At 38.7% G+C, this 19,173-nt stretch overlaps 2 protein-coding genes across 36 annotated transcripts in view; one reads left to right on the top strand and one right to left on the bottom strand.

Annotated features, from left to right (window-relative positions):
* RANBP2 (RAN binding protein 2) overlaps positions 1-19,173 on the bottom strand; it is a 1,122,820-nt gene that overhangs the window by 255,748 nt on the left and 847,899 nt on the right. The gene's annotated exons all lie outside the window — the stretch shown is intronic.
* Positions 1-19,173, top strand: part of SEPTIN10 (septin 10) — a 71,168-nt gene that overhangs the window by 27,413 nt on the left and 24,582 nt on the right. For 19 of the 35 annotated variants that reach the window (NM_001321502.2, NM_178584.4, XM_011510699.3 and 16 more), the window contains 4 exons: positions 716-833; positions 1,233-1,428; positions 11,787-11,973; positions 18,578-18,739. In NM_001321502.2, coding sequence (NP_001308431.1) covers positions 716-833; positions 1,233-1,428; positions 11,787-11,973; positions 18,578-18,739 — 663 coding nt within the window. The remainder of the gene's footprint in view (positions 1-715; positions 834-1,232; positions 1,429-11,786; positions 11,974-18,577; positions 18,740-19,173) is intronic. The other 16 variants (NM_001321508.2, NM_001321505.2, NM_001321504.2 and 13 more) reach the window with 3 other exon arrangements.

The raw sequence follows: 19,173 nt of genomic DNA, 5'->3' as shown, positions 1-19,173 counted from the left end.
CTTCTTTCTGGAATTTTCTCCCTGAATTCCCAACCAATCTGCCTGCCCCAATCTCCAATGGACATCTTAACCCATTAAGACTATAACTTCCCTCCTGAGCTCTATCTTCCTTTTGCCATAATGACTAGGGAGTGCCTTCAGGGAAAAAGCTAGATAAACTCATCTCACCTGATAAGTTTCCTTCCCTCAAGTCTTATTCTGTCCAGTGTCTATCTGCCTTTGGTTGCACTCTAGTGACTTAAAAGGGTTGCTTGTAATTGTTACCAGTAGGCAGGTAAGTTTGACCTAAGTTACTCTGCCATTACCAGGAGCTGAACCTGTATCTGTACTTTTGTTTTGTGCTTTTTTTTCACTTGACATTTTAATGTAAGAATTTTCTAAGTTTTTATCATAAACAAATGGACTTTAACTTTTTATTTTGTAAGTGAATATGCCATAGTTGGATATTTTCCTATTTTGGAAATCGAATGTTTTAATGTTATACATAGTGCTAGACTCTCGTTGTATGAAGGGGATAAGAAATGTATGTTTTGAGGATCTGGACACAGGTTTCTTTTCCTGAAAATTTACTTAATCGCTTGTATCTTAGGTGAGGTATAATGATTATAAAAATTTTCATTTATTTGATATATTTGTCCTTCAAGTGTGCCTACATCCTATTTAAGTCAAAGTTGTTTTTTTTATTGCTGTTGTTTTTGTTTTTATTTTCCTTCAGAAAAGAGAAAACATTCGTTCGTTGACTATGTCTGGCCATGTTGGTTTTGAGAGTTTGCCTGATCAGCTGGTGAACAGATCCATTCAGCAAGGTTTCTGCTTTAATATTCTCTGTGTGGGTACGTGCCACCTACTCTTCCTCTAAGTTGTTCCTTCATATTCCTTGTGCTCACTTCATTCTTGTCATGGGCAGAACAATGCTCATGTTATCAATTTGAAATCATGATCCCAGGGATTCTCTTTAGTTGTTTAGATTCTGTTAGTTTTGTTTTTCTTAGCTTTAAGCTTTTGGCTTGTTATATAAACATCTCAGTGTTGTTGTCAGAGTCCTGAGTAGCTTAGCACACTTACTCTATGCTCTGCTAATGACTTGGGGGACCAGCCGTAGTGTGTATTTCTTTCATGCGCACCCTGGCCTTTGAAATATTTGGGATCTTTGAAACCACTCTAGGCATTTACAGTTGTATTTCTTTTCAGCCATTCATGCAACCATAAAGATGTACCTTTGTGTGTTTCAGGGGAAACTGGAATTGGAAAATCAACACTGATTGACACATTGTTTAATACTAATTTTGAAGACTATGAATCCTCACATTTTTGCCCAAATGTTAAACTTAAAGCTCAGACATATGAACTCCAGGAAAGTAATGTTCAATTGAAATTGACCATTGTGAATACAGTGGGATTTGGTGACCAAATAAATAAAGAAGAGAGGTATGTGTTTTCTTCTTGTAATAAAACAAGTTTTTCTTATTTCAAGACATTCGCCTTATAGCCCCATGAACTATGATTTGATTTTCTCCTATGGTAATCCATACCTTTCCTTCCACACATTGTTTTAAAAATAAAATAATTAAACAATATTTTGTTCTTATTAGCACATTGACATTTTTCTAGCCATTTGTCTAATTTCTTTAGAATAATTTGAATCACCTTATTAAAATGTGCATTTCAGCAAAAGTAGCTTTAATTATTTCCTGACATGCAAATTCAGTGTATATTAATTATACTAATTTTCAGGCAGGGCTTATCTCCTTGAAGAAAAAAAATACAAGACATATAAGAACAATATATACAATGGCCAAATACATGATGCTTGAATTTTTTGTAAAATTATAATCAAATTAGCCAGTTACATTATTAATCATTGCAGGAAAGTTTTGATAGTGAAATTTTAATTTATATTTTACCTTGTGTCTCTATTTGTTTTAATATTTCTCCTAAGGTCGTATAAAGATTGAGTAGAGATTCTATGCTCTATCAAATTTAAACTATGAAAGGGGGAAAAGGATTGGTAAAGCAATAACTTTTTGTTCGTTTTCCTTTTTGAAATGTGTTTCAATTTTTTTTTTTTTTTTTTTTTTTGAGACAGAGTCTCGCTCTGTCACCCAGTCTGGAGTGCAGTGGCATGATTTCGACTCACTGCAACCTCCACCTCCCCAGTTCAAGCGGTTATCCTGCCTCAGCCTCCCGAGTAGCTAGGATTACAGGCACCTGCCACCACACCTAATTTTTTTTGTGTTTTTAGTAGAGACGGGTTTCACCTTGTTGGCCAGGCTGGTCTCGACCTCCTGACCTCAGGTGATCTACCCACCTCGGCCTCCCGAAGTGCTAGGATTACAGGCGTGAGCAACTGCGCCCAGTCTTATTTCCATTTTTGTAAGTAATTTTTTTCCTTTTAAAAAATAATTTCAATTTTTCGTTTAGATTTGGGGTACATTTGCAGGTTTATTACATGGGTATATTGTGTGATGCTGAGGTTTGGGGTACAAGTGATCCAATTACCCAGGTAGTGAGCATAGTACCAATAGTTAGTTTTTCAGCCTTTACCGGGTATCTTCCTTCCCACTCTAGTAGTCCCAGTGTCTGTTGTTGCCATCTTTATATCCATGTGTACCCAATGTTTAGATCCCACTTACTTATAAGTGAGAACATATGGTATTTGGTTTTTTGTTCCTGAGTTAATTTGCTTAGGATAACGGCCTCCAGCTTCATCCATGTTGGTACAAAAGACTTGATTTTGTTCTTTTTTATGGCTGTGTAGTAGTCCATGGTAGGTATGTACCACACTTGTTTTATCCAGTCCACGTTGATGGGCAGCTAGGTTGATTCCATGTCTTTGCTATTGTGAATAGAGCTATGATGAAACATATGAGTACATGTGTCTTTTTGGTAGAATGAGGTATTTTCTTTTGGATATATTCCAAGTTGGAATAGCTGGGTCGAATGGTAGTTCTGGTTTAAGTTCTTTGAGAAATCTCCAAACTGCTTTCCACAGTGGCTGCATTAATTTACATTCCCACCAGCAGGGTACAAGCATTTCCTTTTCTCTACAGCCCCGCCAGTATCTGTTGTGTTTTGACTTTTTAATAATAGCCATTCTGACTGTTGTGAGATGGTATCTCATTGTGGTTTTGATTTGCATTTCTCTAATGATGAGTTATGTTGAGCGTTTTGTCATGTTTGTTGGCTGCTTGTATGTCCATGTCTTTTGGCCACTTTTTAATGGGGTTGTTTTTTCCTTGTTTAGTTGTTAGTTTCTTACAGATTCTGGCTGCTAGACTATTGTTGGATGCATAGTTTGTAAAAATTTTCTCCCATTCTGTAGGTTGTCTGTTTACTCTGATGATGGTTTGTTTTGCTATGTAGAAGCTCTTTAGTTTAATTGGCAATTTTTGTTTTTGTTGCATTTGCTTTTCAGGACTTAATCGTAAATTCTTTTCCAAGGCCAATGTGCAGCATGGTGCTTTCTAGGTTTTCTTCCAGGATTCTTTTATTTGAGGTCTTACATTTCAGTCTTTAATCCATCTTGAGTTAATTTTTGTTTATGGTAAAACATAGGGGTCCAGTTTCATTCTTCTGCATATGGCTAGCCAGTTATCCTAGCACCATTTATTGAATAGAGAGTCCTTTCCCCATTGCTTATTTTTGTCAGCTTTGTTGAAGATCAGATGCCTGTAGGTGTGCGGCTTTATTTCTAGGTTCTCTGTTCTATTCCATTGGTCTATTTGTCTGTTTTTATACCACAACCATGCTGTCTTGGTTACTGTAGCCTTATAGTATAGTTTGAAGTCAGGTAATGTGATTCCTCAGGCTTTGTTCTTTTGCTTAGTATTGCTTTGGCTATTCAGTCTCTTTTTTGTTTCTTTATGAATTTTAGAATAGTTTTTTCTAATTCTGTGAAAAATGACATTGGTAGTTTGATAGAAATAGCATTGAGGCCAGTTGTGGTGCCTTACGCCTGTAATCCTAGCACTCTGGGAGGTCAAGGAGAGAGGATCGCTTGCTCAGGAGTCTTGAGACTAGCCTGGGCAACATGGTGGGACCTCGTCTCTACAAAAAATTTTAAAAAATTAACCAGGCATGTTGGTGGGCACCTATACTGCCAGCTACTCGGGAGGCTGAAGTGGGACTATCACTTGAGCCTGGGAAGTCGAAGCTGCAGTGAGCCGTGATCATGCCACTGCCCTTCCAGCCTGGGTGGACAGAGTGATACCTTCTCAAAAACAAAACAAAAAAACAGCAATAGCGTTGAGTCTGTAGATTGCTTTGGGTAGTATGGCCGTTTTAACTATATTGATTCTTCCAACTATATTGATTCCATGAGCATTTTTTCAGTTTGTCGGTGTCATCTGTGATTTCTTTCAGCAGTGTTTTGTAGTTCTCTTTGCAGATACCTTTCACCTCCTTGGTTAGATATATTCCTAGGTTTTTGCGTGAGAGTGAGTGTGTGTGTGTGTGTGTGTGTGTGTGTGTGTGTGTGTCTGTTGTACATGGCATTGTGTTCTTGATACGGCTCTCAGCTTGACCATTATTGATATACAGAAATGCTGCTGATTTTTGTACATTGGTTTTGCATCTTGAAACTTCACTGAAGTTGTATATCAGTTCAGGAGCCATTTGGCGGAGTCTTTAGAGTTGTCTAGGTATGAAATTATATTGTCTGCAGAGAGATAATTTGACTTTTTCTTTTCCTATTTGGATGCCTTTTATTTCTGTCTCTTGCCTGACTTCTCTGGCCAGGACTTTCAAGTACTGTGTGAAATAAGAATGGTGAGCTCAGGCATATCTTGTTTCAGTTCTCAAGGGGAATGCTTTCATCTTTTGCCTATTTTATAACTTGTTTTTTCTCATTAACTTATTTGTTGGATTGTTTGTATTCTATCAATTAATGAAGCAGTATATAAATACGATTCTGTGAAAATACCAAATGGTACAGATCAGTTGGAATGCACTTTAGCCATTCCCGTGTGTTCAGTCCCATTTCTTCCCCCAGAGGAGCCACTGCTCTGAAATAGGTTTTTTTTTTTTCCCAGACCTTTCTTTAGTTCTTTTTAAATAAGCTTTATTAATATATACTGTACATAGAATAAACTTTACTGATTTTTTTTGTTTTTTTTTTTGAGACAGGGTCTCACTCTGTCGCCTAGGCAGGAGTGCAGTGGCGCAATCTCGGCTCACTGCAACCTCCGCCTCCTGGGTTCAGGTGATTCTCAAGCCTCAGCCTCCCAAACAGCTGGGATTACAGGTGCCCGCTATGACACCCGGCTAATTTTTGCAAAAGTAGAGACGGGGTTTCACCATGTTGGTCAGGCTGGTGTTGAACTCCTGACCTCAGGTGATCTGCCCACCTCAGCCTCCCAAAGTGCTGGGATTACAGGCGTGAGCCACCTCTCCCGGCCTAACTTTACTGATTTTAAGTGTACATTCAAAATGAATTTTCAGAAGCATATAGCATGTTGTAACCACTAGCATAGCTCTAATATAGGAAATGGCCGTAGTCATGGGTATTTTGCTGTCCTGCATATGCATATTATTCTTTAGCCAGGGACTTGGGGGCCCTCTCCAGATGTGCAGTGCTTCCTGCCTGTGCAGCTTTCTTCTCTTCTGTTCCAACCTACAGATGTTGCTTTTGCCTCCTTGAACTCCTGTCTGGGTTTCCTCAACTCAGTGAATGGCCAGGCGCTGTGCTGTCTTTGCGCTCTGCCCGGGACACTTGTCCCCAGTCAGGAAGCTGGGACATGGTAGGGCTCATAAAAGAGGGCATTTATTTCCTTTTTCAGTGGTCACAGTTTTATACTGCCTGTTTCCCAGTGTTTTAAAACCTTTTTTTCATTTATTTTGTTCAGGTTTCTAGTTATTTAAGGTGAGAAGATAAATCCAGTCCCAGTTCCTCTATCATGACTGAAGACAGGCTTTATTTTTCTTTCTTTCATTGTTAATGCTGGACTGTACTGGGTAGGACCTGCAGTATTTTGTAGGATAGTCAGTGATGGTAGTGGGCACCATCCCCTCATCATCCTAATCCCAAAGAGAAAGCTTTATTTTTTACCATGTACCATGCTTGCTTTGTTGTGGTTTTTTTGTTTATTTGGTTGGTTTTGGGTTTTGTTTTAGATAAAATAAAGAAATTCCTTTATATTATTAGTAAAAGTTCTTTTTTTAAAGAATCATTAATATATGCTTTCACCAGATTTTTTTTTTTTTTTTGCATTTTATGGAGAAATTGTGACTTCTTTCATTTAATCTTTAGTAAGGTGAGTTAGAGTAACTGATTTTTTTATTGGCAAATTAACCTTATAATTTTAGATACCATTCTGAGATCATAATATAGTGTTCTTTTTATATTATGCTATATTTTTCTTTTAGTTTTTTTTTGCATCTGTGTTCATCAGTGAAGTTTTTTTAGCCTGTATTCTTGTCTTATACTCTTTTTTTAAGATGGAACTTCACTCTTGTCGCCCAGGCTGGAGTGCAGTGGTGCGATCTAGGCTCATTGCAACCTCCATCTCTCAGGTTCAGACGATTCTCCTGCCTCAGCCTCCCGAGTAGCTGGGATTACAGGCGCCTGCCACCACGCCCAGCTAATTTTTGTATTTTTAGTAGAGACAGGGTTTCACCATGTAGGCCAGGCTGGTCTCAAACTCCTGACCTCAGGTGATCCACACGCCTTAGCTTCCCAAAGTGCTGGGATTACAGGCATGAGCCACTGCGCCTGGCCTTTTATTTATTTATTTATTTTAAATCAAGATTGTGTTAGCCTTCTAAAAGGAGTTTAAGGAGTTTTCATTCTCTATTTTCTGGAAAAATTTGCATAAGATTAGAGTTATTTTTCCCTGGAATGTTTGGTAGAACTAACCAATGAAAATCAGGGCCTGGCTGGGCGTGGTGGCTCATGCCTGTAATCCCAGCACTTTGGGAGGCCAAGGTGGGTGGATCACCTGAGGTCAGGAGTTTGAGACCAGCCTGACCAGCATGGTGAAACCCCGTCTCTACCAAAATACAAAAATTAGCCAGGCGTGGTGGCAGGCGCCTGTAATCCCAGCTACTCAGGAGGCTGAGGCAGGAGAACCACTTGAACCCAGGAGGCAGAGTTTGCAGTGAGCCAAGATTGGGCCATTACACTCAAGCCTGGTCAACAAGAGCGAAACTCCATCTCAAAAAAAAAAAAAAAGGAGGGCCTGGAGTTACAAGATCAGAGTTATTTTTCCCTGGAATATTTGATGGAACTTAACCAATAAAAAAAATCAGTGCCTGGGGTTTTCTAAGAAGATTTTGAGTTTAATTTTTAAAAAATGATTATAGGACAATTCAGAGTTGGTTTTACTTTGTTGAGAGACAGTTTTGTAAGTTATAATTTTCCAGGAATCTGTCCATTTCATCTAAAGTTTCAAATTACTGGTTTAAATATATTGATAATGTACTCTTAATATCTTTTTATTGTCTTCATCATCTGTAATGATATTCTGTCTTTCCTGATAATAGTTGTTTGTGCTGCTTTTCTTTTTCTGATTGATTAGTCTTGACAAAGTGTTGTCAATTTATTTAATCTTTTCAAATACCAAATTTTGGCTGTATTGATCCTTTCAGTTTTATGCTTTTCTTTTTTCCTGTTTCATTACTTTCTGCTCTTACGTCTGTACTTTTGGAGTTTTGTTCCAATTTCTCATTGATTTTCAGCCTTATGCATTTAGTATTATAAACTACCCTGTAAGCGTGGCTTAGGCTACATTCCACAAGTTTGATACATAGTATTTTCAATTTCAGTAAATTTCTTTTTTTTTTTCTTTTTTGAGGTGGAATCTCACTTTGTTGGCCAGGCTAGAGTGCAGTGGCACAATCTCGGTTCACTGTAACCACCGCCTCCCAGGTTCAAGCGATTCCCTGGCCTCAGCCTCCCGAGTAGCTGGGATTACAGGTGCCCACCAGCACTCCGAGCTAATTTTTGTATTTTTAGTAGAGATGGGGTTTCGCCCTGTTGGCCAGACTGGCCTCGAACTCCTGACCTCAGGTGATTCCACCCTCCTCGGCCTCCCAAAGTGCTGGGATTACAGGCATGAGCCTGCCATGCCTGGCCAACAATTTCAGTAGATTTCTAATCTCCATTTTTATTTTATCCTGAAGCATTGACACTTTTATTATTACGTAGTGACCTTTTTTCTCTTGTAATGCTTCCATGTCAGTATTGTCTGCAGCTTTCCTATGTATGTTTGGTGTAGTTTTTCAGTCCCTTTACTTTCAACCTTTCTGTGCCCTTGTGCTTTAGACATGTTTCTTATTGAGCATATTGTTGTCCTTTTAAAACACAATCTGACAATGGTTACCCTTTATTTGATCGTGTAATTCCTTCAAAATTAATGTAATTACCGACATATTTAGGTTTAAATCTACCATCTTTTTTGTGTTTCCTGTTTGTCCTGCCAGTTCTATATTTATTTTTCCTTTCTTGCCTGATTTCTATGCTTATAGTGGTTCTCTTACACATTATCACACATAATCTTTCACTTAAAGTTGAAGATGAGTGTTTATACTTCTCATTGATAATACAAATAGACAATGAAATGAAATTTAGAACAGTTAAATTTCATTTAACCGCTTCTCCTGATTGCTATTATATATTAACTCTTTTTTTTTTTTTTTTTTTTTTGAGACAAAGTCTCACTTCGTCACCCAGGCTTAAGTGCAGTGGTGCAATCTCGGCTCACTGTAACCTCCCCCTCCTGGGTTCAAGTGATTCTTAAGCCTCAGCCTCCTGTGTAGCTGGTACTGCAGTCACACACCACCCCACCTGGCTAATTTTTGTATTTTTAGTGGAGATGGGATTTTGCCATGTTGGCCAGGCTGATTTCAAACTCCTGGCCTCAAGCGATCTTCTCACCTTGGCCTCCCAAAGTGCTGGGATTGCAGGCGTGAGCCACTATCCGACCGAGTTCTCTCTTTCTTTTTCTTTTTTTTTTTTTTAAATTTTGAGGTGGAGTCTCACTCTGTCACTGAGGCTAGAATGCAATGGCGCGATCTCGGCTCACTGCAACCTCCACCTCCTGCACTCCAGCAGTTCTCCTGCCTCAGCCTCCTGAGTACCTGGGATACAGGCACCTGCCATCATGCCCAGCTAATTTTTGTGTTTTTGCAGAGACAGGGTTTCACCATGTTGGCCAGGCTGGTCTCGAACTCCTGACCTCAGGTGATCCTCCAGCCTTGACCTCCCAAAGTGCTGGAATTACAGTGAGCCACCATGCCCGGCCGAGTTCTCTATTTTTTAACTACACGAGGTATTATTATATGGCCAGTATATGTTTATTACCATCTATTAACCAAAAATTTCTGTGTCGCTCACATACTTGAAATTTTAGTTGGATGTACAATTCTGGGTTGCCAGTTATTTTCTTTCTTCCATTGGAAATATCATTCCACTCTCTCCTGGCTTCTATCTTTGCTATTAAGAAGTCTCCCTTAAGGGTCCTCTCCTTTTTTTCCTCTAATGCTTTTAAGATCTTTGTTTTTATTGTTATCCAGTTTTGCTATGCTGTACCTGGGTTTTTATTATTTCTAATTTACCCTGCTTGTGATATGTTTGAGTTCTTGACTCTGAATAGTGTGTCCGTCAGTTCTTTTTAAAAAATCTCAGACATTTCTTCTGTAAATATTGCTTCTGCCCTCTTTTCTGTTTTTTTCCTTTGAAAACTTTGATGAAATATATGTTAGATCTTCTCATTATATCTTCTGTGTCTTTTACTCTTAATCGCTCTGATTCATATTTTTTATCTTTTTGTCCAGAGTATGAAAGAATGGCATATTATTTATTTAGCAGAAAATCTTTACGGTTTTCATGCTTGAATAGCATAAGACAAAACATTCAGATAGAGGTACATTTATGGTTATTTAGGTCATATAATAGGTCCTCTTACTGACCTATTTCAGGTCATTAATAAAAGCTTCTTTGGAATTTTTATGTGAAATATATACTTAACAGATTAATTTTTCCCATTTTATTTTTTTGGAAAGTAAATCCTATTGGGTCACATTTAGACCACTTTCCAAAGGATCACTTAACTGTTGTTATAATAATCACTTTGATGATGAATTGAATTCTTGTAATGTTCAAGGTTTTATGCTATTTCTTTTATTTATTTACTTATTAAAAAAAATATCATTTTTTGAGGCCGGGTGTGGTGGCTCACGCCTGTCATCCCAGCGCTTTGGGAGGCCAAGGCAGGATGATTGCTTAAGGCCAGGAGTTCAAGACCAGCCCGGGCAACACAACGAGACCCTGTCTATATATATATATATTTAATTCATTTAAAACAATCTTGCGTTGTCACCTAGGCTGGTGTGCAGTGGCACAATCACAGCTCACTGCAGCTTTGAATTTCTGGGCTTAAAGGATCTGCCTGCCTTAGCCTCTCAAGTAGCTAGGACTATAGGCACCTCACAATGCCTGGCTGATTTTTAAAGTTTTTTAGTAGAGATGGGGGTCTCGCTGTGTTGTTGTCCAGGCTGTTCTTGAACTCCTGGCCTCAAGTGATCCTCCTGCCTTGGTCTCCCAAACAACTAGGATTACAGATGTGAGCCACTGAGCCTGGCCTATGCTAGTTCTGGTGGAAAATACAGATGTATAAGATACTGTCTCAGTCCTCACATTGTTTACCATTTGCATAGGGAGAACAATGTGTATTCTATAATTTTAAAAGAGGTGATGATCCTCAAGGACTAAAAGGTCGGGCAACTTTATAGAAGAATTTAATTTTGTACACATTTATTAAGTACCTCAGCTGCTCAAGGTACTGGTTCATTATAGGGCTAGAAAGATAATTACAAAGGTTTCCAGGGAATTTGACATGGGAACTGTTTGCTGTTATTTTCACTTGGAAACCCAGATTTGTTTAATGAGAATAGTTAAGAGTAGAAAAGTGAATTGCAAAGGCAGTGGTTTATCATATCAGAACTGAATGGAATGCTCACACACCATTCTTGGAACAGCATTAGCACACTGCTCTGCACATGCACTGTGATTTGATTTGCATCTTGAAGGCTGAATAACCTGAGATAGCCAGAAGGAAGACTGCATTTCCAGGGAGGAGTTACCTGAGTAGAGGATGTAATTGGCCTTTCCTTTGTTTATAATTAAATAAAAATAAAAACGTGCCACCATTACTAGTTAGATACTGATGTATGCCTTTCTTCTTTACTTAGGCTTTTTGTGCCTTATAAATCTAAGAGGCAAAGAGTCATGGACTTTGACTTAAATGTCTTTTGAGTTATTGATGCCTATGCATTTTCTCAGTTAGTTAAATAATAAGCCAGGTACCAGTAATTACAAATTAGACTGCTGCCAGCCCCTTCGAGCAGTCTGGCAAGTGTGGGAAGCTTTGTCAGAAAGGGACCCAGCATGTGAATGACTATGAGAATGAATCAGTGTAAATTCAATACCATTTCAAGCACAGATTGCCCTGATGGTTTCGGAAGTACAAATGATACTGAATTTAGGATAGTTTGACTTAGGATTTCTCAACTTTATGATAGGTTTATTGGGATATGAAATGCATTTCAGCTAATATTTTCAACTTATGTGATGGATTTATCAGGATATAACCCCATTGTAAGTTGAGAAGCATTTGTATAGCTTTTGCGCATGTTCTGCACATTTTTTTATCACTAAAGTTAATCTGTTCAGCATAGATATTAACTGTTTATTAATTAGTGAAAATATAGACCTCAAACTTCTAAGAGTTGCACAGATATCTTAAGGTAGCACAAATAATGTTGTATTAAACATTTAAATAATTTTTCAGCTACCAACCAATAGTTGACTACATAGATGCTCAGTTTGAGGCCTATCTCCAAGAAGAACTGAAGATTAAGCGTTCTCTCTTTACCTACCATGATTCTCGCATCCATGTGTGTCTCTACTTCATTTCACCGACAGGCCACTCTCTGAAGACACTTGATCTCTTAACCATGAAGAACCTTGACAGCAAGGTGGGTTGAGGAAAGGAATCAACTTACCATACTTTAATATTTATTTTTAACTGTTAAAATATTTTTACAATATGGATATATATTGTAACTTTTATCCTGTGCATCTTTTTTAAATTTTTTTTTTTTTTTTTTTTTTTAGAGATAAAGTCACTCTGTCACCCAGGCTGGAGGTAGTTGTGAGATCGTGGCTTACTGCAGCCTCAAACCCGTGGGCTCAAACGATCCTCCTGCCTCAGCTTCCCAGGTAGCTGGGACTATAGGCATGTACTACCACACCCAGCTAACTTTTTAATTTTTTTTTTTTTGTGGAGTTGGATGTCTTGGTATGTTGCCCAGTTGGTCTCAAACTCCTGGACTTAAGTGATTTTCCTTCCTTGGTCTCTTGAAGTGCTAGAACTACAGGCATGAGCCACCATGCCCAGCGCCTGGAAATCTTTAAAACATTTTATATTTCCATCTAGCTTATTTTTTCAGAGAAATTCAATTTGGAAGATGAGATGCAAAGAAGGAATATTGCAATAAAATTTTAGTTTCCTTTGTAGTGATTAAATTGCATGCCAGAACATGGGTATTCTCTGCATTTTTAATGCAGAATTTAGTTGATACTAATTTTACTTTATGCCACTATTAAGTGAGAAGAACTTCATTAACAAGGATTAAGGTCTAATGTTGCATTAGATATTGTCGTAAAATACATTTTAATTTGGACCATACTGAGAAAACCTATTTTTGAATTTCCAAGCCAAGGAGCTATATATAAATTTAGGGAGCTATAGAAAAATTCATAAACTAACTCACTTCAGATTTTTATATTTGTTTAAAAAATGGCTAAAGACAGTAATCTTACATTAAAGAAACGTTAGAATTTTCCATAATCTCAAATGGTATGCGAAATGAAGCTTTCATGATCCTGGTTACTAACTGTATAAGTTGAATTAAAAATCCAAGGTTGTTCTGGATGCTGCTTCTTTCTCTGCAGAAACCTGTATGGAAAGCCTGAAGGCCTGCCTAGTGAAGCTTTGGCACATCGGTCGATTTACTTTTGACTAGTTGCTTGGTCCCCTGGTTTTAGCAAAAATTGATGTAGCTTATATGACAGTCTGTTCACCTGATCACATGTGATCAGATGTTCTAACCATTTAGCCAGTTGTTTTCATAGTTGAGTCTGATTATATGGAAATTCATATTTGTTAAAGGAACATAAAAACAAGAGTGTGCAGTTTTGTCTTAGCTAGAGAGGAGCAACATGAGGTAATTTGTATAAAGATTTGTAGAAGCTGGTGTCAGTGGAGGACGGCTCTAAATATTGGCTCTGTCATTTATTAGCTGTCTGATCTTGCAAGTTTCTTTAGCCCTCTGAGCCTCAGTGGACTTAAGTGATTTTCAGTGTCCTCCACTTTTAAATAAAAACTAGGGAGAAGAACTACCTCAAGAGGCAGATATGAAAATTAATTAAATTGATCCATGTAAATAGAGGGTTTAGCAAATAGGCATACCCAGTAAGAGCCTATCTGCCATAGAAGTTTGCTTTAGTATACTGTGTAAGTATATATTATCTAATCTTTTCCAAATTTGGTGATTTAAATATATTCTTTATTTTTTATGATAAAAGTGTAAACTACCCTGTAAAAATACCTGCCTCTTATTTTACATAAGAAGGTTGTTGGGCTGGACATGGTTGCTCATGCCTGTAATCCCAGCACTTTGGGAGGCCAAGGCAGGCGGATCACAAGGTCAGGAGTTTGAGACCAGCCTGGCCAACATAGTGAAACCTTGTCTCTACTAAAAATACAAAAATTAGCCAGGCATGATGGCACATGCCTGTAGCCCCAGCTACTCAGGAGGCTGAGGCAGGAGAATTGCTTGAACCCAGGAGGCGGAGGTTGTGGTAATCCGAGATTGCACCACTGCACTCCAGCCTGGGCGACAGAGCGAGACTCCGTCTCAAAAAAAAAAAAAAAAAAAAAAAAAGTTGTTTTAAAAGTTAGCTGAAGTCTACCTGTCCGGGTATAAAACAGGCAGTCAAGAGGGGTTAGGACATGGCTGTCATGCTGAACTGCCTGGATTCTGCTTCAGCCCCGCCACTTAGCAGCTATGTGGCCCTGGACAAACTTGGATTCAATTTTTCATATATAAAATAGGGCTAGAGGCCAGGTACGGTGGCTCGTGCCTGTAACCCCAGCGGTTTGGGAGGCCGAGGCGGGCAAGTCACAAGGTCAGGAGATCGAGACCATCCTGGCTAACACGGTGAAACCCCGTCTCTACTAAAAATACAAAAAAAATTCAGCCGGGCGTCGTGGCATGCGCCAGTAGTCCCGGCTACTCGGGAGACTGAGGCAGGAGAATGGCATGAACCCAGGAGGCAGAGCTTGCAGTGAGCCAAGATCACACCACTGCACTCCAGCCTAGGCGACAGAGCGAGACTCCATCTCAAAAAACAAAAAAAAAGAGGTGGGGAGCTAGAGAGAGCTCACTCTAAGACTTTTGGGAAGATTAGCTGAGATGAATATTACGAAGCATTTAGTACAATGCCTGGCATATATGAAGCACCTCTGTTACTGTTGTGTTATTTAAAACTTATTTAAAAATTAACAGGCACAGTTTATTGATGATATTTACATATTGGTATTTGAGGTAACTGGCCAACCCAACCACCTTTGAGTCATCAAAAGTCTTTAAGAAGTGTTAGCCAGGAGCAATTTATATTGATGTAGTCCCTTAGTGGATTTTCAGGAATAAATGGAAGAGCTAATGAGCACTTGTTCAGAGGCAGTCCACCTTGAACCAGCAGTTCAACCTGCAAACTCTTATAACAACTAGTTCTAGATGCTTCCTAGTCATCCCTCAGTATCCAAGGGGGATTGGTTTCGATACCCTGAGGATGCTGAAATTCCTTATATAAAATAGTGTAGGACAGTCTTGCAGTGCAAAACTACATTTTAGTCAGCAAGGGACCAAATATAGAATGGTGGTCCCATAAGATTATACCTTATTTTTACTGTACTGTATTATATGTTTCTGTGTTTAGATATGTTTAGATATACACATACTTAGCATTGTATTATAGTTGCCTACATACACACACTTACCATTGTATTATGGTTGTCTACAGTATCCAGTATAGTTACATGCTGTACAGGCTTATAGTCTAGAAACAATGAGCCATACCATACAGCCTAGGTGTGTCATAGGCTATAACATCCAGGTTTGTGTGAGTATACTCTGTGATGTTCACGCAACATCAAAATCACCTAAGATCATATTTCTATCGCATTTCTATCACCATGTTTATTAGTCCGTTCTCGCATTGCTATAAAGAACTATCTGAGACTGGGTAATTTATGAAGAAAAGAGGTTTAATTGACTTACAGTTCCTTAGGCTGTACAAGAAGCCTGGCTGGGGAGATTTCAGGAAATTTAAAACCATGGCGGAAGGCGAAGGGGAAGCAGGCATGTCTTATATGACCTGAGAAGGAGGAGGAGAGTGCAGGGGGAGGTGCTACACACTTTTAAACAACCAGATCTCGTGAGAACTCACTACCACAAGAACAGCAAGGGACAACTCTGTCCCCATGATCCAGTCACCTCTCACCAGACCCCTCCAACACTGGGGATTACAATTTTACATGAGATTTGGGTGAAGACACAAATCCAAACCATGTCGCCATGGTTAAGCCACACATGACTGTATATAACCTACTTGTATCCTTGCATATACTTTAAATAATCTCTAGATTACACATTATAATACCTAATACAGGCCGGGTGTGGTGGCCCATGCTTGTAATCCCAGCACTTTCAGAGGCCAAGGCAGGTGGATCACGAGGTCAGGAGTTCAAGACCAGCCTGGCCAACACAGTGAAACCCCATCTCTACTAAAAATACAAAAAAATTAGCTGGGCATGGTGGCAGGCACCTGTAATCCCAGCTACTCGGGAGGCTGAGGCAGAATTGCTTGAACTTGGGAGGCGGAGGTTGCAGTGAGCCAACATCACGCCACTGCACTCCAGCCTGGGCAACAGAGCTAGACTCCGTCTTGGAAAAAAAAAAAAACCTGATACAATGTAAATGCTATGTCAATAGTTGTTATATTGTATTTTAAAATTTGTATTATTTTTCTTGTTGTATTGTCATTAAAAAAATTTTTCCCCTAATATTTTTGATCCTCAGTTGGTTGAATCTGTGGATGCAGAACCCACAGATGATGAGGGGGGCAACTGTAAAGACATTAATGAGCATTACAATATTACCTTTTGACCAATACCTTATTTCATTCAAACCAAAATGAAATATTTTATGGTAACGGTAAAGGTCATGGGTATCATGCACTCATTTAAAGATGGTCACTACTCACTTCTGCCTTATTCAGTTGATGAGAGACAAATTCTAAAATTGGGACTGCCTTATCAAAATCCTGCCTTTAGCTTTCTATTGTACAAACTAGACAGGAAGTTAACCCCTAAGCTTTGTTTTAAGTTTAAAAGAAAAACTAGGATATGCTGAAATTACTTGATTTGGCCCATTTTAAATAGCAATACACAGGTTTTTTTTTTGTAGGGGCAGTTGGCAGGTGTAGGGAAATTTTCACTTACACAAGGGCACTACATAAAGATGAGAGGTGGTGTCCTTGCTGACCTCATCTTGCCACTCCCCAGGCCACCTCCAGATAGTTGTTTTCTGTTACTAAAAAGCAGAACATTCGACTGCTTGACATGGAAAGTTATCTTCTCTTACGCCATTGGTGACAAGCGACCCTCTTTGGGCAATATCTGTTACTTTCCCTCCCTCTAATAGTCATGTAAACATTGATGTTTAGTATTCAGTCTACTGCAGTTTATTGTGCAAGCAATTATAAGTTATTAACTTGGCATAATTTGTTGAATACCTAAGTATATAATATTGAAACTAAGGACTTGGCACCAAAATGTTTATGTACTTTGACTAATTTAACAGGAAAGTTGTTTACTTAGGATTGCTGGAAAGTTTTCTGCCATCAATTTCATAGACAGAAAAAATTTCTCTCCTTGGGAGCATATGGAAGGCTGATAAATTCAGATATATACTTGGCATCAATGTGAAATTTGAGAAGATAAAAAAATTTAGAATAGGAATTATAATTTTTTCCTTTTTTTTTTTTTTTTTTAACAAGAGTTTTGCTCTTGTTGCCCAGGCTGAAGTGTGGAATGCAATGACGCGATCTCGGCTCACTGCAACCTCTGCCTCCTGGGTTCAAGCGATTCTTCTGCCGCAGCCTACCGAGTAGCTGGGATTACAGGCATGTGCCACCATGCCCACCTAATTATTTTGTATTTTTAGTGGAGATGGGGTTTCTCCATTTTGGTCAGGCTGGTCTCGAACTCCCGACCTCAGGTGACCCACCTGCCTCAGCCTTTCAAAGTGCTGGGATTACAGGCGTGAGCCACCACGCCCAGTCAATTTTTTACTTTTAATCTGAAAATTACATTGAGGTTTTACTGTCTTGATACATATGACTGATTAGCCTGAGGTTTTTGATGAAAAACAAACTAAAAAACTTAAGAACCACCAGTCACAAATTTGTGGAGCTATCAGTCTTTTGTGGGGATATTAATCTTATAGAACTAGATTTACAAGTTATTCGGTCTTCACAACCCCAAATCTCTTGCCCTCTGTCAGTGATAGGACTTCAAATAATACTGAGAAAGTTATTCCTTTGCATCATGAACACTTTTAAGATAGTAGTACATACAGTTTCCTTCCTCTGCTGTCTAAGTAAGTCTGTGACAGTGGGGCACAGGTAGGCATGGAGTCAGTCCTGAAACGAGGCACAAAGAGAAGCTTCACCTGTCTTTTAGTTTTGCTGAGGGATCAATCACCCTGGTTACTTAGTGCTTAGATTATTAAAAAATAAAAATTCTTAGTGAATTGAGGCAATTCAGTTTACCTTTTATCACATTTTACTTTTTAAGTGTATGATGAAATTGCAAGATTTTGAGAGAGAAGAAAATGTGAGATTTCTAAACCTAAATTCAAATGAAAGATTAATCTTACAAGAGTTCTGCTTTCTGAAAGCATTGATTGAGGTGCCTGTAATCCCAGCTACTTGGGAGGTTGAGGGAAGAGAATCGCTTGAACCCAGAAGGCAGTGGTTGCAGTGAGTTGAGATTGCACCATTGCACTCCAGCCTGGGTTACAGCGAGACTCCATCTCAAAAAAAAAAAAAAAAAAGATTGTGTGGCTGGCATCTGTAGGAATGAGTGTATAAGGGGTGTATATATACAGGAGAATGGCCATCTGGGTCAGGGTTGGCATGCCTTTTCTGCAAAGGGCCAGGCTGAGAATACACTGGGCGTCACAGGCCCTGTGGTTTATGGCAGCAGCAACTCATCTCTGCTGTTGTAGTGTGAACGCAACTGTAGACAGTACACAAGCAAATGGGCATGGCAGTGTTCCTGTAAATCTTTATGTATCAAGATCAACAGCGAGATGGACCGTAGTTTGCCAGCCCCCCGATCTAGGTTTAGGGAAATTCATTGTCAGAATGAACAGTTTTGAGTGAAAAAACAGCTGCAGGATTAAAAAAAAAAATCCTCAGTAAGATTTTGTTTTTCTTTATTCTTAATAGGTAAACATTATACCAGTGATTGCCAAAGCAGATACGGTTTCTAAAACTGAATTACAGAAGTTTAAGATCAAGCTCATGAGTGAATTGGTCAGCAATGGCGTCCAGATATACCAGTTCCCAACGGATGATGACACTATTGCTAAGGTCAACGCTGCAATGAATGTGAGCTCCTGATTGAATGTTAATTCTGTTTTCCATGTGAAAATAAAACTGTAATTTGTGAGTAATATTGCTGCTAATACACTTTCACTTGTGTCTTCCAAAAAGACTTCAAACAAGGTGAATTTTCAAAAAGTCCAGTATGAGAAAATGTTTAGTTTTTTAAGTTGGAAAAGGTGTAAGGAGAATTTATTTTTAAGCATATTTTTCTTTCACTCTGCTTTCACCAAAATAAAGTGATAGATTTGTGAGACTGGGATATACCTTTTGTGCAGCCATATGTAATTGCCTTAGAAAGATGACACCTTCCTACCCTGTCTTTATAAACATGAGAAGACTTTACAGCCTCCCTTTGCATGCTGTAAAATCTTAAAATCTTTAAGGAGGTCTCTTAAAACTAGTATTTATGCTCCTTCTCTCTCATAGTGTCAAGTTAC

Source organism: Homo sapiens, chromosome 2 (genome assembly GCF_000001405.40).
Source record: "Homo sapiens chromosome 2, GRCh38.p14 Primary Assembly".
Lineage (NCBI taxonomy): Eukaryota > Metazoa > Chordata > Mammalia > Primates > Hominidae > Homo > Homo sapiens.
Note: the sequence above shows the minus strand (reverse complement) of the source record. Positions and strands in the feature narration are given on the sequence as shown.